Source organism: Homo sapiens, chromosome 1, assembly GCF_000001405.40.
Source record: "Homo sapiens chromosome 1, GRCh38.p14 Primary Assembly".
NCBI classification, from domain to species: Eukaryota; Metazoa; Chordata; class Mammalia; order Primates; family Hominidae; genus Homo; species Homo sapiens.
Genome location: NC_000001.11, coordinates 205749957 through 205775884, shown reverse-complemented (window position 1 = coordinate 205775884; position 25928 = coordinate 205749957). Strand labels below are relative to the sequence as shown.

At 44.0% G+C, this 25928-nt stretch overlaps 2 protein-coding genes across 18 annotated transcripts in view, besides 2 other annotated features; both read left to right on the top strand.

Moving 5' to 3' along the window:
* The first annotated feature begins 402 nt into the window (after window positions 1–402).
* RAB29 (RAB29, member RAS oncogene family) lies at window positions 403–7899 on the top strand. 16 transcript variants are annotated; one of them, XM_005245571.2, is made up of 6 exons: window positions 403–483; window positions 799–1052; window positions 3318–3389; window positions 4232–4413; window positions 5031–5152; window positions 5432–7899. In XM_005245571.2, exons 2-6 carry the CDS (start codon window positions 929–931, stop codon window positions 5541–5543), a joined length of 612 nt encoding a protein of 203 aa, XP_005245628.1. In that variant the 5' UTR covers window positions 403–483; window positions 799–928; the 3' UTR covers window positions 5544–7899. The 16 variants fall into 16 exon arrangements, with proteins under 16 accessions (XP_005245628.1, XP_047289461.1, NP_001129134.1 ...); XM_047433505.1 differs by having other exon boundaries at window positions 794–1052; NM_001135662.2 differs by having other exon boundaries at window positions 403–511.
* Window positions 1489–1538: an enhancer, noted in NCBI's record as "active region_2389". NCBI's record gives its function as "activates an Ori minimal core promoter by ATAC-STARR-seq in GM12878 lymphoblastoid cells {active_cell/tissue: GM12878}" and the evidence as "EXISTENCE:reporter gene assay evidence [ECO:0000049][PMID:35858748]".
* Window positions 25260–25509: an enhancer, noted in NCBI's record as "active region_2388". NCBI's record gives its function as "activates an Ori minimal core promoter by ATAC-STARR-seq in GM12878 lymphoblastoid cells {active_cell/tissue: GM12878}" and the evidence as "EXISTENCE:reporter gene assay evidence [ECO:0000049][PMID:35858748]".
* The window catches only part of NUCKS1 (nuclear casein kinase and cyclin dependent kinase substrate 1), a 37361-nt gene continuing 37135 nt past the window's right edge, over window positions 25703–25928 (top strand). For both annotated transcript variants that reach the window (XM_005245453.2, NM_022731.5), the window contains exon 1: window positions 25703–25928. In XM_005245453.2, the coding sequence (XP_005245510.1) occupies window positions 25912–25928 (17 nt within the window). In that variant the 5' untranslated portion in view covers window positions 25703–25911.

Sequence of the window (25928 nt, the reverse complement as noted above, 5' to 3'; positions counted from 1 at the left end):
ACAGAAAATATGAGTCATTTCACAAAGTCCTGGGCTTGTCTATCTACTTGAAGGAATAGGAAATGGACTTCACTTGGAGCATGATGGATGAGGCTTGGGCTTTTACTAATGAAATAAGTTTCAATCTTAACTCAGTTAAACCTTTAAAGACAGGAGAAAACTATCTGGGGATGGATTCAGGCCAGTGAGATCACGTTGCACAAATCTCCCCTTAAGGGATCTTTACTGACCTAGAATTGTTTCAAAATAAGATTCCAAACTGTCGAGGGAGTTTGAAGCCTTGAAACTTGGTGTAGGTTTGCTTAAAACAAAATAACGAATATACTACATTTCCCAGGAGGCTTCGCGGTGAGCCTCCGCACTCGGCTGGTTCTCTTTACCGCGAGGAAAGCTGGGAAATGTAGTGCCACAGGCAACCCTGCACGTGACGCTTGCGGAGGAAGGGGAGAGAGAGGCGCGCGGGAGGGCGTCTAGGGAATCGAGGTGCCGGCTGCTCCTTCCTCACAATTTGGTTTGTGCTGCAAGGGGAGGGTCCCCATCATCTGGCCCCAGTGGTGTAAGGAGCTGACTGGGATTCAGTCACTGACTTGGAGCCGCTCGGGGGAAGTCCCGGTGGGTGAGGTTCCGCGGCGCCTGGTCCAGTTTCTCGGCAGTCAGGCCAGGAGGGGGTGGGGAAGGTGCGAACAGCCGGGGGCTCGGAGCTCGCGCCCTGCGCCCCACCCAGGTTGCGGCCGCCCGGGGAGGAAGCGCGTATAGGTTGAGTGCAAAGTTTCCTTTTTTGCTTTCTCGTCAGAGCAGCCCAGACAGGCGGTGGGTGGGAATGCCTCACTTCAGTTTGAAGAGGGTCCGGATCCAAAGGGGTTAAAACGAGCGACCCCCGATCCCCGACCACACTTCCCGCCTCCCTAAAACGCACACCCCGCTAGCCATGGGCAGCCGCGACCACCTGTTCAAAGTGCTGGTGGTGGGGGACGCCGCAGTGGGCAAGACGTCGCTGGTGCAGCGATATTCCCAGGACAGCTTCAGCAAACACTACAAGTCCACGGTGGGAGGTGAGACGTCTCGGGGGTGGGGAGGGGGAGGGGGAGGAGGAGGCCCCGACCGCGGACTCGAGCTGGGGACCCAAGTGGGGTGGGGATTTGCTGTCGGTTGTTGGGTCCTTCTTCGGGTCAGGAAGTACTGTCTGGGAACCTAGATGGTGTAATTGCCGGGTGTTTGGTTTACACGCCTCTCTTGAGTTTCCCGTTAGATTTTCCCAAACTGAGCCCACTGCCAGGAGAAAGGTAAGAGCAAAGGCGTGAAGATGAGAAATAGGGAAGGGAGGATGAGGATGAGCAATTGCTGTTTATTGCAGGCGTACTGTGAACTTAAGTCTCCAGCCTTTCAGCTGTCCGGCAAATCTCTCCAATCAGCAGAAGCAGCTGAGATCCTCTGTGGGGCCTCCTGGTTAGGTGCCGGCTGGGGCTGTAGTCCTGCCCCTCTGTTGAGGGAGGAACCGCAAGGTGTTTAACCTGGCTTCAGTGGGAGAACGCAGGAAGCGGAACTGGTCTGAAGGACTGTAGCTTTGTTGTGGGGCTGTGGGTGGGATGGAAGACACAAAATCCCCGAACGAGCCCCTTGGCTACGCAGTCAGATGCCCATGAGGGCTGATGAGCTGTGTTTTTGTCCGTTGATTGCTTAAATAAAGGTAACCAAGGAATTCTTCCAAGAATGTGAAATATACCACTTCTCTGACCTATCTTCCCACCACTTTTTTCCTCAAACTGGAGAAGGTAGGGAGGAAGGGGACACCGAGTTCATTCATTTCTTTCCCGGGTGTGGCCTTTGGACTCAACTATTTTTTCAGAGGCAGAAATGCCTTATTGTTAATTAGAAGGTATTTAGCTAGGAAGAGCTGGTGATGGGGGAGAGTAACTTAAAATTTTATTTCTCTCTGTTAAAAGAACTTGTTTCAAGGGGGGAAAACTCGTACCAATGGAAAAATTGAAAATGTGTGCTCCTGTTCATATGGAAGTTTAAAAAGAAATTAACAAACATTTACATTGCAATTAAAACATTCTCCTTAAGAACCCCCAGTAGGGCCCAGTACCGTGGTTCATACTTGCAATCCCAGCACTTTAGGAGGCTGAGGCGGGAGGATTGCTTGAGCCCAGGAGTTCGAGACCAGCCATGGGAAACATGGCAAGACCCCCACCTCTACAAAAATTAAAGAAGAAAGTAGCCGTGGTCCCAGCTACTCGGGAAACTGAGACGAGAGGATTGCTTGAACTGGGGAGGTCGAGGCTTCAGTGAGCCCCGTTCGCACCACTCACTGCACTGTAGCCTGGGCAACAGAGTGAGACCCTGTCTCAAAAACAAAGGAACAAAAAATTTAAGTCTGGCAAAATTAAAGGTTCAAAGTTTCAGACACTCTATCCTGACCGCTCTGCCCTCCCACTCCTAAATAATATAAGGGTCCCTATTTCACGGATTTGGGTTAAAAGTGGCCTGCTATTAATAGTTAATTTTTAACAATTGCTGTAGTTTTCCTTTAGCAAAGAATATAATTGGCTAATTTTTTTTTCAGTGTTTAGTCTAAATTTCCCTTAGCTTTGATTCCTGTCACAGATGTGAAAGATAATATTTCCAAACCTCAGAAATTACTCTGTTTCTCTCCTTAGCCAAAAGGCTTTCCCCATGGAATACTTACTCAGCCTTAAGGAGTCTCAGCACCTGCAGACTTGGTGGTAGATTCCAGCAGGACTCTTCAGCAACATCCACACAGTGTCTTCTTCTTGGGACTCCTCTGGGACCTTTTCCATTTATTCCATTCTTGCCCAAGATAATACCTGCAACCTTATGGTGGATGTAGAGTTCCCCAGGGTGTGTTCTTTTCATAATACAATTTGATTAGAAACCAACAGTGAAATTGAATGTGGAAGATACGAAAGCAACCACACTTGTCTCATTTCCCCCTTCTCCCCCATCACCCCTTCCCTGAGAAAACCCCCTAAATCTCCCAGAAACTATTTAACCTGAGAATGAGAATTGTTTTCATAGTTACTCCCACCCCCAGTCTTGGAGACAAACAGTAGCAAATAAATGAGCTTGACAGTAGAGTAAAAGCTGGAAACCCCTTTGGAGAGTGAGTATGAATCATCCATCTCACACTAAATACACGCATGTGGACTCATCTCAGTGAATTGAGGGCTTAAAGTTAAACATATGGGATTGGAGTTGTGTGTCCATAGGGTTTCACTGCCTATTTGATTTGAGTTTATCCCTATTAATTTTTTACAGTGAAATTTTATTAAAGTATAATGTACATATATTTTCAGTGGATTTTGCTCTGAAGGTTCTCCAGTGGTCTGACTACGAGATAGTGCGGCTTCAGCTGTGGGATATTGCAGGTAAAGTGGGAGGGCTAGATAGGAACAAGGGAAGAAATTTTGATTTAACTAGAAAGCTCTGAGGAAAAAATGGGGCAGCAAAGCCAGAAATTGTTTTTCTGAAGCTGGAATGATTGAGCTGCTCTGAGGACACATGAGCTGAATAGGTGCAGAGCTTTTGTAGATGTTTTGCCCTGAATAGATCTGGAGCAGTCTCTATGTGGATGGAGGGGCTGGCAAGGTGGTGGATTGTCCAGACTATAGGTGGACACTCCCACAGCAGGGGAGGGTGCTTTTTCTAGGTTTAAGGCTGACCTTGGTGAAAAACAAGATCCCCAGAAAATAGATACAGTAAAAATAGTGAATCCTTACTATGTGCCAAGCATTCTTCTAAGTATTTTAAATTCACTGACTCATTAATCCTCACATCAACCCTATCATAAAAGCTACTGCTTTTGGAGAATTGCTTGAACCTGGGAGGTGGAGGTTGCAGTGAGCCTAGATGGCACCACTGCACTCCAGCCTGGGCAACAGGAGTGCAGGAAACTGTTTCAAAAAAAAAAAAAAAAAGCGACTGCTTTTATCTTCACTTTACAAATGAGAAATCTGAAGCACTGAGAGCTTGATTTGCCCGAAGTCAAATAGTATGCAGCAGAGCAGGGATTTGGACTGGAGCAATCTGGGTGCGGAATCTGCCTTGGAAATAATTGGGCTTCATTATCCCTTTATGGGATAGAAAACCAAGAGTCAGAGGGGGAAAGTGAGTGGCCCCATCTGACACATATGCTTACTGCCCTCTTCTACAAGGAATGGGGAGAGGCCGGCTCTTGGGTCACCTTGAGAACTCTCCCCTTTCTCCCCAGGGCAGGAGCGCTTCACCTCTATGACACGATTGTATTATCGGGATGCCTCTGCCTGTGTTATTATGTTTGACGTTACCAATGCCACTACCTTCAGCAACAGCCAGAGGTGGAAACAGGACCTAGACAGCAAGCTCACACTACCCAATGGAGAGCCGGTGCCCTGCCTGCTCTTGGCCAACAAGGTATGTGGCCAATCTCAGAAAATGGTCCCTAGCCTCTATCTGTGGTTAGAAAGGAAGTAAAATGCTCTCTGATTCTGGGCATCCATTTCCCCTTCTTAAGTTGGCAAAATCATCTCTACCTCCTTCAAAGGATGTTGAGGGTGAGTGAGACTTTCTTTCTTTTTTTTTTTTTTGAGACGGAGTCTCGCTCTGTTGCTCAGGCTGGAGTGCAGTGGCGCGATCTCGGCTCACTGCCAGCTCTGCCTCCCAGGTTCACGCCATTCTCTTGCCTCAGCCTCCCGAGTAGCTGGGACTACAGGTGCCCACCACCACACCCAGCTAATTTTTTTGTATTTTTAGTAGAGACTGGGTTTCATTGTGTTAGCCAGGATGGTCTCGCTCTCCTGACCTCATGATCTGCCCGCCTCAGCCTCCCAAAGTGCTGGGATTACAGGCGTGAGCCACTGCGCCCAGCCAAGGGTGAGACTTTCTTTGGGAAGAATGTTGATTATAGATTTCCGATGCTGGTGTTCTTATCCATTGGTGGAAATATGTTTAAAATCCACAGTATCTGAGCCATATTCTTTCTTAGTTGCAGGAAGTTTATGATACTGCCTTTTATTTTTTCTCTTTGCTAGTGTGATCTGTCCCCTTGGGCAGTGAGCCGGGACCAGATTGACCGGTTCAGTAAAGAGAACGGTTTCACAGGTTGGACAGAAACATCAGTCAAGGAGAACAAAAATATTAATGAGGCTATGAGGTAAGTAGCTCATGCTGATAGGCATGCAGATGTATCCATCTTCCACTGTGGCCCTGTGGACCCTCTTTTCTTATTTCTGAGCCAACAATGACAGACTGAGCCATTGGAATGCTAGCCCCTAAAGGTCAGGGATACTGTCTTTCCTGAGATAACTGGGGACAAAGGGGCATTTAAACCTTCTGGCTTTACCAAATACTCTCTGATGATAAGTCAGACTACATCTGCCATTTCTGCTTTTCCTCCAAAATAAGCTTCTCAGGCTTATTTTTTGTCTTTTAGAGTCCTCATTGAAAAGATGATGAGAAATTCCACAGAAGATATCATGTCTTTGTCCACCCAAGGGGACTACATCAATCTACAAACCAAGTCCTCCAGCTGGTCCTGCTGCTAGTAGTGTTTGGCTTATTTTCCATCCCAGTTCTGGGAGGTCTTTTAAGTCTCTTCCCTTTGGTTGCCCACCTGACAATTTTATTAAGTACATTTGAATTGTCTCCTGACTACTGTCCAGTAAGGAGGCCCATTGTCACTTAGAAAAGACACCTGGAACCCATGTGCATTTCTGCATCTCCTGGATTAGCCTTTCACATGTTGCTGGCTCACATTAGTGCCAGTTAGTGCCTTCGGTGTAAGATCTTCTCATCAGCCCTCAATTTGTGATCCGGAATTTTATGAGAAGGATTAGAAATCAGCACCTGCGTTTTAGAGATCATAATTCTCACCTACTTCTGAGCTTATTTTTCCATTTGATATTCATTGATATCATGACTTCCAATTGAGAGGAAAATGAGATCAAATGTCATTTCCCAAATTTCTTGTAGGCCGTTGTTTCAGATTCTTTCTGTCTTGGAATGTAAACATCTGATTCTGGAATGCAGAAGGAGGGGGTCTGGGCATCTGTGGATTTTTGGCTACTAGAAGTGTCCCAGAAGTCACTGTATTTTTGAAACTTCTAACGTCATAATTAAGTTTCTCTTGTCTTGGCATCAAGAATAGTCAAGTTTTTTGGCCGGGCATGGTGGCTCATGCCTGTAATCCCAGCACTTGGGGAGGCCAAGGCAGGCGGATCACATGAGGCCAGGAATTCGAGACCAACCTGGTCAGCATGGCAAAACCCCGTCTCTACTAAAAGTACAAAAATTAGCCAGGCGTGATGGCACGTGTCTGTAATCCCAGCTACTCTGGAGACTGAGGTGGGAGAATCGCTTGAGACTGGGAGGCAGAGGTTGCAGTGAACCGAGATCATGCCACCGCACTTCAGCCTGGGTGACAGAGAAGGACTCCGTCTCAAAAAAAAAAGAAAAAAGAATAGTCATTTTTAAACTACCTATCTCATGCAATGAAAGCATTTTCTTCCACAAAGAGCTTAATCCTCATGATAGGATTGCCTAGTGTCTCCCATTTGCAGGTTTCTGGGTTGATGTCTTAATGCATAATACTGCAAGTGACATCAGCTGGCTGTGATGCTTCGAAATAGGTCTGCTCCTCACAGCTTTGGGAATCTGAATGGAAGAAGAAAAGAGAGAAGTTAACAACCTCCACTGGGGCAACTTTGTGAACACGTAGGCACTTAGTCATAGGAAACATATTATGTGCAGGTCCTAGCCTGGGGGAGGAAAGTAGATAGACAGAAAATCATTAGGTAATTTAAGTACTAAATTGGGCAGGGCTTTTTAGTATCAAATCACTACTAGACCATTTAATTTGTTAAATTATCTCTAGGATGGTGATTTATAACCTACCCAAAGTTATCGATATTCTTACTAAACTCTGAGGCCTGAAGTTCTGTGATAGACCTTAAATAAGTGTCCTAAGTCAGTGGTTCCCAAATCTGGCTGGTCGGGAATACCTGGGAAGTTTGTTAAAATTTTTTAAAAATGTTTTAAGATTTTTGGGTCCTGAGCCAGCCGTGGTGGCTCACACCTGTAATCCCAGCACTTTGGGAGGCTGAGGCAGGTGGATCGCCTGAGGTCAGGAGTTCAAGATCAACCTGGCCAACATACTGAAACCCCGTCTCTACTAAAAATAAGAAAAATTAGCTGGGCGTGGTGGCGGGCACCTGTAATCCCAGCTACTTGGGAGACTGAGGCAGGAGAATCGCTTGAACCTGGGAGTTAGAGGTTGCAGTGAGCTGAGATCACACCATTGCGCTTCAGCCTGGGCAACAAGAGTGAAACTCCATCTCCAAAAAAAAAAAACAAAAAGAAAAAGATTTTTGGGTCCCGACCTCAAACCTACTGAATCAGAATTTCTAGGGATGAAGCCTAGGAATGTGTTGTTGTTTTCAGAGCTTCCCTGGTGATTGTGATAAGCCTGGTTTGGAAACCATTGCTGGAGAACTTTGTAAAGATACAGAGACCCAGACCTTTTGTATTTACATTTAAATACAAATACAAATCCTGGGTTTCTATATATTCTGTTAGCTTTTCAGGTGATTCTGCTACACAGACGTTGAAAACCACTGCCCTAAGAAAGAGATCAGAGGCCACATATCAGAGAGAAAAGGGACCAAACCTTCGGTGGTTTGTTGTGTGTCGTTTTAATGCCAATTATTTTAACTTGCACAGTCTTCTGAAACCTTGTATTAATAGTTCTCTTTTGTATTACCATTTTCAGGTAGGGTTTTGATCACTATGATTCTGAAGATAATAGTGAAATAGTGAATTTCATTGATATGAAGAGATAATTGATTTTCATTCATTGGTTTGAACACCTGCAAAATCACAAATAAATGAGAACTAAGTCTTGTATTCATGGTGGTTATTGGCCTTTAATGTGAGTTTGTCAAAGTGCTGTTTTATACTGATAGCTCAAGAGGATTGCGGAAATGGAGACTTTATTTTTTAAATACCTTTTTCTAAATTTTCAATTCAAGGGGTACGTGTGCAAGTTTGTTACATGGATATATTGTGTGATGCTAAAGCTTGGGTTTCTGCTTAGCCTGTCTCCCAAGTAGTGAACATAGCACCCAGTCGGCACTTTTTCAACGCTTACTCCCTCTCTCCCCACTTTTGGGAGTCTCCAGTGTCTGTTGTTCCCATCTTTATGTGTGTGCCCAATGTTTACCTCCCACTTACAAGTGAGAAATGTGGTTAAATACCTTCTTTTAAAATGAAGGTAAATATTATTCTGTTTACCTGTTAACTTACTAATACCAATTGCTTAGATCCATCTGCCTAGTACCAATTCAGTACTTGATGGAACATGCCAAATACTACTTGGAAACGTGACCTTTTTGAAAAACTGAATGTGCTTGCTTTTCCCATTTGCTGACTCAGGATTTACCTGCCTTTTCAAGCATTGTTAGAGGCTGGCCAGCCAGCCAGCCCTTCTGGATATTCTCTCCCAACTGGTGAACATTATAGGCCTGAAACTAATTAAAGAAGGAACTGAAATATACCTAATTCCTCTTCGTGCCCCTATCCATAAGAGAAAAGCAATTATGATTAGGAAAAATAAAATATTTACATGAATGGAAATGCGATGCTACTAAAAATAATTAGGTCTTATCACTCGGATGCTACCTCTTTGGTGCATTCAAAAGAGGTAGCGTCCAAAATTGTTTGGAACGTAGATATCGTAGCCCCTCCCTAGAGGAGGTCCTACATTTGAGACAAGATGCCTCTCCAACCACTCAGGTGGCTTTTGGTCAAAAAAGAAAACAGTTCCCCCAGAGTGTTCTCAGAAACCCTAAGGGAGGGCTGAGAACACAGCTGTGGGGTAGTGTCTGCCCTGACTTTCTTCTTTGAACAGAAGAAATTTGGTCACTTAGCTGAGTGACCAAATAAGTGGAGCAGAGGAGATTGTAGGTCAGGGAAGGCCCTTTAGCAGTAAAGAATGGTCTGCTGCTTTATCACTACTATTGCGCCAGAATTACCCCAAGGTGTTTCCCTAATTCACTTTCTCCAGGTAGGGTCCCTCACTGTTTCCTGTTATCTCCAGATTTAACTTTTTCTGTAGGTGGTCTCTCTTCGGTCCTCAGGATACTATCTCATCTAACGTGAGGCCTGTCTTGCCTGATACTTTTGTAGGCAGTGGCTAAGGCCATGGTTAGAGGATGTAAAAATTTCCATGGAATTCTGTAAAATCTAGTAACCAGATTGCCCAAGGAAACTAAACTCAATGTACTTTTCCCCTTCAACCTTTTTGTTTGTTTGTTTGTTTGTTTGTTTGTTTGAGATGGAGTCTCGCTCTGTCACCAGGCTGGAGTACAGTGGTGCGATCTCAGCTCACTGCAACCTCCGCCTCCCACGTTCAACCGATTCTCCTGCCTCAGCCTGCCGAGTAGCTGGGACTACAGGCGCCTGCCGCCACACCCAGCTAATTTTTGTATTTTCAGTAGAGACATGGTTTCACCATGTGGGACAGGATGGTCTCGATCTTTGACCTCGTGATCCACCTGCCTCAGCCTCCCGAAGTGCTGGGATTACAGGCATGAGCCACTGCACCCAGCCTTCCCCTCCACCCTTCTTGGTTCACTGTGTATAGGAAGATTTCCTCAGCTGTGTAAGTGACTCATCTGTTAAAGCCAAATAACCCCCAAAGCTGCAGGTTAGAATAGGCAGGAAGTCACTAGAAAATGAGGTATTCTGGAAAGAATTCTACATATAATTATATATATGATATATTATATATAGAGAGAGTTGGGTTTTGTTTGTTTGTTTTGAGACAGGGTCTCACTCTATCACTGAAGCTGGACTGCAGTCCAGTGGCACAATCTCAGCTTACTGCAGCCTTGACCTTCTGGATGCAAGCCATCCTCCCACCTCAGCCTCGAGTAGCTGGGACTATACACGCATGCCACCACACCTGGCCAATTTTTGTATTTTTATAAAGACAGGGTTTCACCATGTTGCCCAGGCTGGTCTTGAACTCCTGAGCTCAGGTGATCTGCCTGCCTCTACCTCCCACAGTGCTGGGATTATAGGAGGCATGAGCCACCGCACACCCAGCCTTGCATTATGTCTTTTTTTTTTTTTTTTTTTTTTTTTGAGATAGGGTCTCACTCTGTCACGCAGGCTGGAGTGTAGTGGTGCGATCTCGGCTTGCTACAGCCTCAACCTCCTAGACTCAATCAATCCTCCAACCTTCCCACCTCGGCCTCATGAGTAGCTGGGACTACAGGCTCATGCCCCCACGCCCAGCTGATTTTTGTACTTTTTGTAGAGACAGGGTTTCACCATATTTCTACATATTTTTTTATTCTGCCATAAATACCAGAGACTTCAGGATATAGTCAGAATATATGACCTTTGTTGTTAGAAAAACCCTGCCTGCCTTTAGTTTTCCAGCATGACCTGAATTCTCTGAAGTTTTAGCTGCAGTTTTGGTATAATGGTATTTATTGTTCTATATTAGAGTTCTCCAGGGAAACAGAACCAATAAGAGAGATTGGTAAATATTATAAGTAAAAGATATATAGAAATAAACATATAGGGAGATATAGATATATAAATATATGTGTATTTATTATAAGGAATTGGCTTACACAATTATGGAGGCTGGCAAATCCAAAATCTGCAGAGCTTGGCTGGGTGCAGTGGCTCACGCCTGTAGTCCCAACACTTTGGGAGGCTGAGGCGAGCGGATCCTTTGAGGTTGGGAGTTCAAGATAAGCCTGGCCAACATGATGAAACCCCATCTCTACTAGAAAATACAAAAATTAGCCAGGCATGGTGGTGGGCGCCTGTAGTCCCAGCTACTCGGCAGGCTGAGGCAGGAGAATCACTTGAACGTGGGAGGCGGAGGTTGCAGTGAGCCAAAATCATGCCACTGCACTCCAGCCTGGGTAACAGAGTGAGACACTGTCTCAAAAAAAAAAAAAATCTGCAGAGCTGTTGTCTAGTGGGCTGGAAAAGTCAATGTTCCAGTTTAAAGCCTGTCAGGAAGGAGAATTCTCTTTTACTTGGGGGAAGGTAGTATTTTGTTCTACTGAGGCCTTCAACTGATTGGATGAGGCCCACCTACATTGGGAAGAACAATCCGCTTTACTCAGTCTGCCAATTTAAATGTTAATCTCATCCAAAACACCCTCACAGAAACACCCAAAATAATGTCTTGGCCAAGTATTTGGGCGCCCTGTGGTCCAGTCAAGTTGACACATAAAATTAACCATCACATCATGATGGGTACTGTTTTGATTCCTTTTTTTTATAGTCTAATTTAATTTGCAATCAAGTTAAAGTTCATCTGATTAAGAACTATATGTTAGTGGGAATAAAGAAAGCAGATAGGAAGAGGAAAGAGGTATTTTATGATTTATTTTGTATAGAATTCGTCCCTCAGATCTGTGAGTTGTATATGCCTCTTACACTATCTTTGAAATAAGAAAGTAAGCAATTCTTCCCATTCTGTGTTTCAGGGAACAAATGTCTTGAAATTTGACTGAAAGGCAGCTGGTTGAATTTGTAATACAGCCAAGGCATAACTGCAAGTCTTCTCATTCTCTGTCTCCATTCTGTCATTTAGGTTTCTGGGAAACATTTGGCCTGAAAAACCTATTTTAGAAAATAAGCCCAGACATTTAGAGAAACAGAACTGAGCCCTTTGGGTTTTGAAACTCTTGGTTTGTGTTAGATATCTTTTGAGAACATGTTCATGTGTGAAATAGAGACATGCATGTAATTAAATTTGGGGCCAAATTAGGTGCAGTTAGAATAGCATGCAGTGCAGACATATCCCAAGCTGTTTAATTGACAAGTTCCACTTACTAAGATATGTCACCTTAGTGACTGTCATTTAATTTTGAATATCAGCTTTTTGTTTGCAAGTGCAGAGATTTTTGACAGCCATTCCAGCTTCAACTGTTGTGGCCAATAGCTAATGTTAATCGGAGTGTTTGGTATAAACCAAGTACTCACCTAAGTACTTCACATGGATTATTTTTATTTTCACAATGACCCTATGAGATAAATATGTGAGGAAACTGAGGAACAAAAAATTTAGACTTTGCTCAAAGATGAAACAGCTAGCAAGTGGCAAACTGTGATTTTTTTTTTTTTAACCTTAAGTGGTGTTGCTCCAGAAACTGGGCCCTTTACTCTACTACAGTGCCTCCTTGAAGTTTTTCCATTTAACAAGTTTTCAATATGGTGGAAACAGTAATGTATTAAAGGGTATACAAATTTTCCAATACTTTTATAATGAAAGATGAAAAACCTACTCGTTAAATAAAATGGGCCGGGTACAGTGGCTCACGCCTGTAATCCCAGCACTTTGGGAGGCCAAGGCGGGCGGATTACCTGAGGTCAGGAGTTCGAGACCAGCCCAACCAACATCGAGAAACCCCATCTCTACTGAAAATACAAAATTAGCCGGGCATGGTGGCACAGGCCTGTAATCCCAGCTACTCAGGAGGCTGAGGCAGGAGAATTGCTTGAACCTGGGAGGCGGAGGTTGCAATGAGCCAGATTGCACCATTGCACTCCAGCCTGGGCAACAAGAGTGAAACTCCATCTGGGTGGGGAGGCGGGGGAGGGGGCGGAAGAAAGGAAAATCCAAACCTCCTAGGGCCCAGCAACCCAAACAAAACCTCTATTTACATTTCATAAATTTGCCTTCAATCAACTTTTATGCAAATATTTTTTCACATAATTGTATTCATATTTAAACAAAAATTTTTTTTTTTTTTTTTTAGTAGTGACAGGGGCTTGCTATGTTGCCCATGCTGGTCTCAAACCCCTAGCCTCAAACAATCTTCTCACTTCAGCATCCCAAAATGTTGGGATTACAGACATGAGCCACTGCACCTAGCCTAAACAGAGTATTTTTTATTACACACCTTTTATGTGTCCATGATTACAGTAGGAGTTGTAGGGGATATAAAGGCCTATGCCACTGAAGTCCAAAGAAGAAGGAGGTCAAGAAAGAGTTTTTGAAGTAGCATTTAAGATGGATAAAAATCAAGAGGTGAGATAGAATTTCAGGTTGGGGCAAAAGAAGTTTGGAATTCTTATGCAGGTTTGGGAAGGAGCCAGTAGAATCCAGGGTTTATGTTTAGAGCGGTGGGAAATAAGCTTAGATTATTGGCAGATTGTTTAGGTCATTAATATAAGCAATAGTGATGTACCTACCATGTGCCAGGTACTTCATTAGGTATGTAGGATGCAGGGCTGGGGAAAAGAACGTTCCTGTCTAGGAAGGGCAGTCCAGAAAGCAGGTGGACATGTAAAAAGAATTGTGTCTCAGTGCAGAGAGCGCCAAGTCTTTACTTCTTGTAGTGATGGAGGGCGAGGATGAGGTCAAGGAAATCCTTGTAAAGGAGAGGGTGCTCAAGCTGGGTAAAAGCTTGCCAAATGGAAGATTACAGGAAATTTGGAGAATAGTGGATATTCATTATAGCTGGAGCTGGCAGGAGGACTGTAGCGTTCTCTATGTTTAGGCTGCTATAACAAAATGCCTTAGATTTGGGTAATCTATAAACAACGGAAATGTATTGCTCACAATTCTGGAGGCTGGATGTCCAAGATCAAGGTGCCAGCAAATTTGGTGTCTGGTGAGGGCCCTCCTCTTCATAAGTGGCACCTTCTTGCTGCTTCCTCACATGGCAGAAGGGGCAAAACAAGTTCCCCGTGCCGTCTTTCATAAAGGCAGTAATCCCAGTCAGGAGACTGCCACCTTCATGACCTAGTCACCTCCCAAAGGCCCCATCTCCTACTACCAACACATTGGGAAATAGATTTTTTTTTTTTTTTTTTTGAGATGGAGTTTCACTCTTATTGCCCAGGCTGGAGTGTAGTGGTGCAATCTTGGCTCACTGCAACCTCCGTCTCCCAGGTTCAAGCGATTCTCCTGCCTCAGCCTCCTGAGTAGCTGGGATTACAGGCACGCACCACCATGCCTGGCTAATTTTTGTATTTTTAGGAGAGACAGAGTTTCACTATGTTGGCTAGGCTAGTCTCAAACGCTTGACCTCAAGTGATTCACCCACCTCGGCCTCCCAAAGTGTGGGGATTACATGCATGAGCCACCATGCTTGGCTGGGAAATAGATTTTAACATATGAATTTTTAGGCTGGGCATAATGACTCACACTTCTAATCCCAGCACCCTGGGTGGCCGAGGTGGGAGGATTGCCTGAAGCTAGGAGTTTGAGACCAGCCTGGGCAACAAAGTGAGACCCTATCTCTACAAAAAAATACAAAAACAGGGCCAGGTATGGTGGCTCACGCCTGTAATCCCAGCACTTTGGGAGGCCAAGACAGAGGATGGCTTGAGCCTAGGAGTTTGAGGCTGCAGTGCGCTATGATTGCACCACTACACTCCAGCCTGGGCAACAGAGCAAGACCCTGCCTCAGAAAAAACAGAAATGAATTTTGGAAGGACACAAAACATACAGATCATAGCAAAGGTAGAGGTGAGAAAATGAGATTGGAGTTTGGGTCAAATTAATGAGAGTCTGTATGCCATGCTGAAGTGTTTAGGCTCCATTTTTTTTTTTTTTTTTTAAGAGTCAGGGACTTGCTCTGTTACCCAGGCTAGGGTGCAGTAATGTGGTCATAGCTCAGTGCAGCCTCGAACTCCTGGCTTCAGGTGATCCTCTAACCTTGGCCTCCCAAAGTACTGAGATTACAAGTGTGAGCCACCACATCTGGCCTGGATTTCACCCTGTTGTAGAGAACTATTGAAAGGGCATTTTTAATCTTTTTTTTTCTTATTGAAAAACATAAACATTACTTCTTTTATAAGTGGCTTAAAACAACACAAATTAATTATCTTACAGCTCTAGAGGTCAGAAGTCCAAAATGGGTCTCTCTCGGGTAAAACTGGTGTTGGCAGAGCTGCATTCCTCTCTAGCAGCTATTTTAGGGAAGAATCATTTTTCTTGCTTTTTCTGGCTTCTAGAGGCTGCCCACATTCCTTGGCTCATGGTTCCCTTTCTTCATCTTCAAAAGCCAGCTATAGCTGATGAAACCTTTCCCATATCTCATCACTCTGACCTTTTCTGCCTCCCACTTCCACTTGTTTGTTTGTTTGTTTGTTTTATTTTGTTTTTGAGACAGGGTCTTAGTCTGTTGCTCAGGATGGAATGCAGTGGCACGACCACAGCTCGCTGCAGCCTGGACTTCCCAAGCTCAAGCAATCCTCCCACCTCAGTGTCCTTAGTAGCTAGGATCACAGGCCCACACCAACACACATGGCTAATTTTTTTTTCCTAATTTTTTATAGAGATAGGCACTTAGGGGGACCAAGGCAGAGGATGCTATGTTGCCCAGGTGGGTCTCAAACTCCTGGGCTCAAACTATCCTCCTGTCTCAGCCTCCCAAAATGCTGGGATTACAGGCATGAGCCACCACGTCTGTCTGTTCCTCTTCCACTGTCATTTTTTTTGTTTTTATTGGTTTTTTTTTTTTTTGCGGGAGGGGCGATGCAGGAAACAGCCTTGCTCTGTCGCCCAGGTTGGAGTGCAGTGGCACTATTTCAGCTCACTGCAACCTCTGCCTCCCGGGTTGAAGGGATTCTCATGCCTCAGTCTCCTGAGTAGCTGGGATTACAGGCATGCGTCACCACGCCCAGCTAATGTTTGTGTTTTTAGTAGACAGGGTTTTGCCATTTGGCCAGGCTGGTGTCGAACTTCTGGCCTCAAGCAATCCACCTGCCTCGACCTCCCAAAGTGCTAAGATTACAGGCATGAGCCACCATGCCTGGTTCCTCTTCCACGTTTAAGGACCCTTGTGATTACCTTAGGCCCACTGGGACAATCGAGGTTAATTATCCCACCTCAAGATCAGCTGATTAGCAACGTTACTCGCTGCTCACGTATTCACAGATTCCAGGAATTAGGACATGGACATTTTGGGGGAGTCATTATTGTACCTACCAAAGATGGGAAAACTGAGTAGTAGAAAGGTTAAGGAACTTGCCCAAGGTCACACAGCTAGTTGGTAGTAGGGCCAAGAATAAACACTGTTTTTTAAAATTCAAATTATAGACATTTTTAAAAAGGAACCAGGCATAGTGACTCACACCTGTAATCCCAGAACTTTGGGAGGTCGAGGCGGGTGGCTCACTTGAGGTCCGGAGTTCAAGACCAGGCTGGCCAACATGGCAAAACCCCATCTCTACTAAAAATACAAAAATTAGCCAGGTGTGGTAGTGCATGCCTGTAATCCCAGCTACTAAGGAGGCTGAGGCAAGAGAGTTGCTTGAATCCAGGAGGTGGAGGTTGCAGTGAGCCAAGATCATGCCACTGCACTCCAGCCTGGGCAACAGTGCAAGACTCTGTCTCAAAAAATAAAAATAAAAAGCCGGGTGCGGTGGTTCATGCCTGTAATCCCAGCACTTTGGGAGGCCAAGGCGGGTGGATCACAAGGTCAAGAGATCAAGACCATCCTGGCCAACATGGTGAAACCCCATCTCTACTAAAAATACAAAAATCAGCTGGGTGTGGTGGCACAAGCCTGTAGTCCCAGCTACTCAGGAGGCTGAGGCAAGAGAATTGCTTGAACCCAGAAGGCAGAGGTTGCAGTGAGCCAAGATCGTGCCACTGCACTCCAGCATGGGCAACAAAGCAAGACTCTATCTCCAAACAAACAAATAAATAAGAGAATTTTCCTCTAATTTCATCACTGAAGGATAACTTGATTAAGAGTTTGAGTATCCTTTCAGGTTTTTCTCTACATATACGGTATTAGCTATGAACCATTCCCCTTAAAAAAATAAATAAATAAAATAAACAGGCTCATACTTGGCTTTCTGTAGTTTGCTTTTTTCTTTTTAATGTATCTTGGCTATGTTCCCATCTAAGAACATACAGTTCCAGCTCATTCCTTTTCATTGTTGCATAGGACTATATGGATATATTAATAATTTATGTTGCCAAGCTATTTTTTTTTTTTTGAGACGGAGTCTCGCTCTGTCGCTCAGGTTGGAGTGCAGTCGCATGATCTCAGCTCACTGCAACTTCTGCCTCCCAGGTTCAAGCAATTCTGCCTCAGCCTCTGCAGTAGCTGGGATTACAGGCACCTGCCACCAGAAGCCCGGCTAATTTTTTGTATTTTTAGTAGAGACGAGGTTTCACTGTGTTGGCCAGGCTGATCTTGAACTCCTGAACTCAGGTGATCCACCCGCCTCGGCCTCCTGAAGTGCTGGGATTACAGGCGTGAGCCACTGTGCCTGGCCTTTATCTATTGATGGGTATTTGAGGTATTCCTTTTTCCTCTATTACAAACGGTGCTACAAACTAACATATTTACATATTTATAAATTTATGTGAAACTTCTTTAGGAACTCCTAGAAATGGGTCAGAGTATATGCACTTTGAAATAAACTCCCACCAGTAGGGTCTGAGAGGCCATTTTCCCCATATCCTTAACAAGACTGTTTTCAACTTTTACCAATCTAAGAAATGAAATATTTTTTAAATTTTCTTAAAATAATTTACCTTTTCTAATCCTCCAGTGTGCATGCTAGAAAATGTTTTTAATTTGTTTTTTGTTACAAGTGATCATATTTTTAAATGTATTAGTCATTTTTATTGTATGAATCACCTATTTGTGTCCTATGTCTGTTTTCATTTTGTCTTTTTCTTGTGACTTTTAAAAAGTTCTTTTTATATTATGAACATTAACCTTTTGTCACACATATTGCAAATATTTTCCCCAGTTCATGGAGGGATTTTATTTATTTTTTATTGAGACGGAGTCTCACTCTGTCTCCCAGGCTGGAGTGCAGTGGCGCCATCTCAGCTCACTGCAACCTCTACCTCCAGGGTACAAGCGATTTGATTCTCATGCCTCAGCCTCCTCAGTAGCTGGGATTACAGGCGCATACCACCATGACCAGCTAATTTTTTTTTTTTTTTTTGTATTTTTAGTAGAGATTGGGTTTCACCATGTTGGTCCGGCTGGCCTCGAACTCCTGACCTCAAGTGATCCGCTTGCCTCAGCCTCCCGAAGTGCTGGGATTACAGGCGTGAGCCATTGTGCCTGGCCCGTGGAGGTATTTTAAGTAGAGTAATATTAGATTTGGGCTTGAGAAATCTGTCTGATGGTAGCTTAAATGCTAGCACAGTTTAGCCTTTATTGTGGAAGCTGTATGGACTTATTGAAAATTTGAGTATGAGAATGATATGAGTACTGTAAACCACAGGAAGGTAGTATTGCCTGTTGTGTCTACTACAGATTACAGAAAAAGGAAAGAAGAAAGACTGTTATAGTAGTTTAAGCATGAATGGTGACAATGTAAATGGCAAGTGAAAAATGAATTTGACAAATGCAATGAAGAAGGAATCAAGAGGTTTCCACTTTGAAGACTAACAGTGAGGCATAAGACGGAGTCAGTAGTACCAAGATTTGAATACAGATAGCTAAGAGGAAGGTGATAACGCACAGCAAAGAAAACAATCTACAAAATGAAAAGGCAGCCTACAGAATGGGAGAAAATATTTGCAAACCATGTTTTCAGTAAGGCATTAATATCCAAAATATATAAGGAACTCATACAACTCAATAGCAAAAAAAAAAAAAAAAAAACCCAAATAACCCAAATAAAAAATGGACAAAGGACCTGAATAGACATTTTTCCAAAGGAGACATACAAACACCCAACAAACACCCAGCAGGTATATGAAAAAGGTGCTCAACATCACAGTCATCAGGGAAATGCAAATCAAAACCACAATGAGCCGGGCACACTTTGGGAAGCCAAGGTGGGTGGATCACCTGAGGTCAGGAGTTTCAGACCAGCCTGGCCAACGTAATAAAATCCCGTCTCTACTAAAAATACAAAAATTAGCCAGATGTGGTGGTGTGCACCTGTAATCTCAGCTACCTTGGGAGGCTGAGGGAGGAAACTCTCTTGAACCAGTGAGCCGAGATCACACCATTGCACTCCACCCTGAGGGACAAGAGTGAAACTCCATCTCAAAAAACAAAAACAAAAAAAAACAAAACACAATGAGATACCACCTCACGCCTGGTAGGATGGCTATTCTCAAAAAGTCAAACGATAACAAGTGTTGGTGAGGAGGTGGAAAAAAGGGAACCCTTATACATCATTAGTGGGATGTAAATTGGTACAGCCATTGTGGAGAACAGTATAGAGGTTCCTCAAAAAATTTAAAAATAGAACTACCATATGATCCAGCAGCCCCACTTCTGGATATATATCCAAAGAAAATGAAATTGGTATCTCAAAGAGGTATCTGCATGCCCATGTTCATCACAGCATTATTTGCAATAGCCACGATATGGAATCAGATTGTCAGTGGATGAATGGATAAAGAAAATGTGATATGTGTGTTTATATACCTACATACACACGACAGAATATTATTCAGCCTTCTTGAAGTTCTGCTATTTGCAACCACATGGATGAACCTGGAAGACATTATACTAAGTGAAATAAGCCAGGCATAGAAAGACAAATACTGCATGATCTCGTTTATCCAGTGTGTGGAATCTCAGAAAAGTGGATCTCATAGAAAAAGAGAGTAGAGGATGGCTACCAGGGGTCAGAGGATGGGAAAAATGAGGAGATGATGGTCAAAGGGCACAAACTTGCAGTTATAAGATGAACAGGTTTTGGAGACCTAATGTACAGCATGGTGACTATAGTTAATATTTTATATACTTGAAATTTGCTTGGAGAGTAGATCTTAAGTATTCTCACTACACCAAAAAAAGATAACTGAGGCCATGGACATGTTAATTAGCTTGATTGGATAATCATTTCATAATGTATCAAAACATCACAATGTACAACTTAAATATATACAATTTTTATTTGTCAATTATACCTCAATAAAACTGACAGGGGAAAATGATACAGAGGACAGGAATAGAGTCAGGAAAATAATGTGGGTGGGAAAGATGATTTTTTTTGACATAAATAAATTGAGCTTGTGGACATCCAAGTGGAAATACCTGTTAGGCAGTTAGGGATACCGAGCTGGAACCAATACAGAAGTAGAAAGGCTGGCACTAGTTGGTGAAATCATGCCTATATGGTCATGGTTGGAGCAGCTTAATTCTCCTAGGAATAGTTGGGAGGTAGAGAATGTCATTGTCTCTCTATATGAAACAGAAAGTGTATCGCAGTGCTGCAAGCTGATGGTCATCACTCCTCATTACTGCACCTTTTCTTCATCTCATCTGGAAGCTGTAAGCAGTTTTGTTTTGTTTTGTTTTTTTGAGATGGAGTCTTGCTCTGACATCCAGGCTGGAGTGCAGTAGCACCATCTCGGCTCACTGCAATCTCCACCTCCTGGGTTCAAGTCATTCTCCTGCCTCAGCCTCCCTGGTAGCTGGGATTACAGGTGTGCACCACAACACCCAGCTAATTTTTGTATTTTTAGTAGAGACGGGATTTCACCATGTTAGCCAGGCTGGTCTCGAACTCCTGACCTCGTGATCCGCCCACCTTGGTCTCCCAAAGTGCTGGGATTACAGGCATGAGCCACCGCGCCCTGCTGAGCAGTTTTTTTAACTGTTACCAGTATTCAGGGATGGTTGTATTCTGTTGGAGGAATAAGTCAGCTATCGGAATTTGGGGTTTTCCTTTAGTGAAGCGAATGTGATCCCATTCTACCGCTCATAGTGCTTCACAGTCTACAAACTACTTTCGCAAGTGATCCCTTTTTTTTTTTCTTGTTATTATGCTAACCTTGTGAAGTGGGTAAGGACCAGTATAATTATCTCCATTTCACAGATGAAGGAGCTGAGGCACAGGGAGTTTGAAATTTGCTAAAGGACATAGGTAGTAAATTACAAGCTCAGAGACAGATAATCTTGATTACAAGTTCAGTGCTCTTTTTGTTCTACCTTGGGGCCTCGCTTTTCAGCAGTGTTCACCTCACAATATTTGTCAGTGGTTTGCATAGATAAAGCTGTCTCTCCCTCAGTGTTACAATGACAAGTTTTCTATGGATTTTGTGTCCAGCAAAACAGTAAGTTAGTCTTGTTGTATTTTTCTTCAATTTAAACTGGATATTGAGTTGTACATCTTTATTGTTTTAGTAGTACAAAATCACCTAAGCTTAGCTCTTAATATTCAAAGTAGAGAGGAAGATGGGAATCTGGAGCAAAGAAATACACACTTGAGAAAAAGAAGACAAGGGAAAATTTCCTCTAATCACGGATCTATCTCCAAGCAGGCTACTCAGTCTCTGGGGTTGTAGAGAGACAGACCTAATACACACAGTTCTTCTATCCCATCCTGTCTTCTAGAGTGGTAGTACAGAGAGAGCCAGCAGGTTGGAGGTAGAAGATTTAAAAATAAAAAATTTTTAAAAAAAGAGTTGGAGGTTTCTTTAACTTCCTGGCAGCATCTCCAAAGAGTGGTACCCTTCTGTGGTCCTGTTCTCTGTGGAAGCAGTCTCTGTCTTTAGACCTGGTTGGTTGACTTTCATGAGATCACAGAACTGGAAGTGCCCAGCACACAATGCTGAAAAATTTTTATGAAGCTCTCAGCTGCTATAGTGTAGCCCTTGATGGAAATGGGTTTTTGTTGGGTATGTGGAAAACCCATCAGTCTTACCATCCCAGCACTGCCAGTTCTTACTGTCTAACATATGTGAAGGAGAAGGAAAATGGTACTTCTCAAAACATAACTAAAAATCACAGGGGAAAATTAAGCACTGTGTTTAAAAGGCCATGAGATTTCATTTCCAGGGAAAAGGAATAATTCCGCCTTTTCTGTCTCCTGAGGCTTTTCTGTTTTCATAGTTTCTCCTAGTTTTATTACACATATTGTCCCTTCGGGGTTATCAGATAGTGCTTCTAAAACCTGACCTATCCTATGATCAGTGTCCTTCTTCAGTTTCCAGCAAACTGATTGTGGTTAAAACAGGTACACAGGGCAGATCACTGGGGTACAGATTAGAGGGAACTGACCTTGGAGACTGCATTCCACGTTCTTTTGGCACTACTGGCCATAGTTCTGTACTTGTCCACTAAAAAGTAAACTCGAAGTTCAAGTCTTAAGTTATTTCTTCCCTGAGAGACGATGTTGATTGCAATACTAAGTGAATAAATGAGCAAATGGAAGGAAGATGTTAGCTGAAGCTGCAGTGAAGAGAAAGGTAGGATATGAGGCTGAACTTGGAAGGAGGAGAGTCTTCACTCAGTGGCCATTTGTATACTGGCCTTGCACTACACTATCAGGCCAACAACCTGAAGACCTATTCTGAACTTTCCACCTGCCTGCAAATGTTGACTATGGTCATTTCTGTTCACTACCTAATAAATGAGTAACAAGAATTCCTCTGCCCCATCTCACAATACCAAATAATGATGTTTACTAAAATAATAACAATTTGGCCTAATAAAAGAGCCTCCACCAAAGCCACTTGGTGATCACTCTGCCACCCAAGTTTCTGCCCTGGCATTCTGACAATAGTGGGGATGGTAATACACTTAGTCAAAACATATATGGAGCCGGGCGCGGTGGCTCACGCCTGTAATCCCAGCACTTTGGGAGGCTGAGGTGGGTGGATCACTTGAGGTCAGGAGTTCGAGACCAGCCTGGCAAACATAGTGAAACCCCGTCTCTACTAAAAATACAAAAAGCCAGGTGTGGTGGCGCATGCCTGTAATCCCAGCTACTCTGAGGCTAAGGCAGGAGAATTGCTTGAACCCGGGAGGTAGAGGCTGCAGTGAGCCAGACCAGGTGACAGGGCTAGACTCTATCTAAAAAAAAAAAAAAGGCTGGGCGTGGTGGCTCATGCCTGTAATCCCAGCACTTTGGGAGGCCGAGGCGGGTGGATCACCTGAGGTCAGGAGTTTGAGACCAGCCTGGCCAACGTAATGAAACTCCGTCTGTACTAAAAATACAAAAATTAGCCAGGCGTGGTGGCGGGCATCTGTAGTCTCAGCTACTTGGGAGGCTGAGGCAGGAGAATGGCGTGAACCTGGGAGGCGGAGTTTGCAGTGAGCAGAGATCGCACCACTGCACTCCAGCCTGGGCAACAGAGCGAGACTCCGTTTCAAAAAAAAAAAAAAAAACCGTATATGGACACTCATTAGGATGGCTATTGTAAAAAACTTACTGTTGGCAAGGACATGGGGAAATTGGAACACTTGCACATTGCTGGTAGGAGTGTAAAATGATACAGCTGATGGAGAATCCATACGGCAATTCTTCAAAAAATTAAACAGAATAGCTGTATGATCTAGCAATTCCATTTCTGGGTATATATCCAGAAAGGAAAGCAGGTACTCAAACATATTTGTACTCCCACTTGCCCAGCAACATCATTCACAATAGCCATAAGGTGGAAGCAACCCAAGTGTCCATTGATGGATGAGTGGATAAACAAAATGTGGCATATACATACAGTGGAATATTATTTGGCCTTTAAGAGAAAGGAAATTTTGACACTTGCTACAACATGGATAAACCTGGATGCCATTATGCTAAGTGAAATAAGCCAGTCACAAAAGGACAAATACTGTATGATTACACTAACATGAGATTCCTAGAGCAGTCAGGTTCATACAGACAGAAAGTAAAATGGTGGTTGCCAGCGGCTATGGGGAAGGGGGAAAGTGGGGAGTTAGTGTTTAATGGGCACAGAGTTTCAGTTTGGGAAAATGAGAAAGTTCTGGTGTTGAATCGTGGTGATGGTTGCATAACAATGTGAATGTACTTAACGCCACTTAACTGTACACTTAGAGACAGTTAAAGTGGTACATTTATGTTATGTATTTTTTTTTTAACCACAATTTAAAAAAATTGCGGGGGACGGGTGCGGTGGCTCACTCCTGTAATGCCAGCACTTTGGGAGGCCAAGGCAGGCAGATCACTTGAGGTCAAGAGTTCAAGACCAGCCTGGCCAACATGGTGAAACCCCATCTCCACAATAAAATACCAAAATTAGCTGGGCATGGTGGAGCACGCCTGTAATCCCAGCTACTTGGGAGGCTGAGGCAGGAGAATCGCTTGAACCCGGGTGGTGGAAGTTTCAGTGTGCAGAGATCGTGCCACTGCAATCCAGCCTGGGGAGCATAGTGAGTGAGACTCCGTCTCGAAAAAATAAAAATTAAAAATAAAAATAAGAGGGACAGAGGGTGGAATGACATGGAAGAGACAAAAGATATTAATTTGTTTAATGCTTCACTGGTGGACTGTGCTATTCTCTTCTTTTTGGGAAGCCAGATTTTACAAAGGGAGACTTTCAGGAGGCAGATGTGGTGTGTTTTTTGTTGTTGTTGTTTGGAAAGTGTATCTTCAATTGGTTGTTAACTGACTGCTCATTGGAGACTTCTGCCAGATGCGCCCAGATCATTAGTCCGTTTGAATCATCACGTCTTCCAGGCCCCACCCTACTCTCTGATAGGCCCCACCTTCACCGTGGGGTCCTGTTAGTCAAGATGCTCTGAGAGCGCACAGCCACCAAACAAAAATGATCGCTTTGACTGTGACAGGGATTGACGTCTATTTTCGATAGCAGACTCAGCCTTAGCCATTCACATAGGAATCCTGAGCTCTGCCTTTGAGAGTATTAGGCATCCAACAAATGCTCACGGATTTAAGTGAAATGATGTGCGTTACTTTCAGTTATATGACTTCGAAGAGTCTTTGTTTTGTTTTTCAAAGTGCAAGGGTAAATCAATAGAATTCATAGGGTCTTGAGCCAGCTCCACCCATCTCTACCCAGGGACGGAATCATCTTTTAAAACTTGGATTTAACACTTACGTAGCACTTACTGTGAGCCAGAGACTATCCTAAAGACTTTTGATAGATATATCAACTCATTTAATACTAATAAGCCTATGCAGTTAGGTACCCTTGTTTCCCATTTTACAGATGAGAAAACTGAGGCACAGAGAAGGAAAGTTATACCACCATTAAGTAGTGGACCTGGGATTCCACCTGAAATACCTTGTGGCCCCTGAGCTCATGCTCTTAGTTATTGTACACCTGACTCTTTTCTTAAAATAGTAATGCACCAGACTGGGACTTTAATGACCCTGAAGTGGATCTCAAGGTCCAGAATGGAGAATGGTAATTGGGGGTGAAGATATTCCTTGATTATGATCCTGCCTCTCTACTCCAGCAGCCTCATTTGGTCCCTGAGGGTTAATGCCGAAGCCAGGGTAAGGGGCTTGTAGGTTTAAGGTCAAATTTTTTGAACCTAAGGAATTTCCCTCCAATTCTGTAGCAGCCCCGCAGTGACGAATCTGCTGCCTCTCCCACGGGTTTTGCTATTAGAGGATTTTCAAGGTGATCAAGGCAGACGAGATGAAACACCATTAAACTAACACTGAGCAACGCTGAACCCTACATAAATCTTTTTTTCTAGTCTTTCTAAGATACGACCCCAGACGAATCTGCAACTCTGGAGTGGAAACCAGGGGGCGGGCTAAGCAGCGACCATTTTTGTTTTGCGGCCGTGCGCTCTCAGAGCATCTTGACTAACAGGACCCCCACGGTGAAGGTGGAGCCTATCAGAGAGCAGGGCGGGGCCTGGAAGACGTGATGATTCAAACGGACTAATGATCTGGGCGCATCTGGCAGAAGTCTCCAATGAGCAGGCGTGTTGGGGAGGAGCGCACAAACCCTAGTGGGTTTGGTTGCACGGCGGCTTTGGCGCATTTTCGGCTGGTTTGATTCATCCATTTTGAAGAGACGGGGGAGCGGGGGGCTCGTCTGTTCCAGGAGCCCTGAACCAAAGAGCAGCGGAGTTTGAGAAGCCAGCAGCTCGGGGTTCGGCAGCAGCGGTCCCATCGGCTGAAGTTCGGGGGGGGTGGGGCGCCGAGCGCGCGGGGTGGGGGGGGTCCTGGTCTTTGGCTTCTCGACTCGGTCCTGTTTCGACAGCGAACATGTCGCGGCCTGTCAG

Excerpts from the sequence above, each read along its gene's own strand:
- RAB29 (XM_005245571.2), top strand. The coding sequence starts at position 929 with ATGGGCAGCCGCGACCACCTGTTCAAAGTGCTGGTGGTGGGGGACGCC. Across the intron at positions 1,053-3,317 it reads CTACAAGTCCACGGTGGGAG|TGGATTTTGCTCTGAAGGTT; the intron begins GTGAGACGTCTC and ends ATATATTTTCAG. Across the intron at positions 3,390-4,231 it reads TCAGCTGTGGGATATTGCAG|GGCAGGAGCGCTTCACCTCT; the intron begins GTAAAGTGGGAG and ends CTTTCTCCCCAG.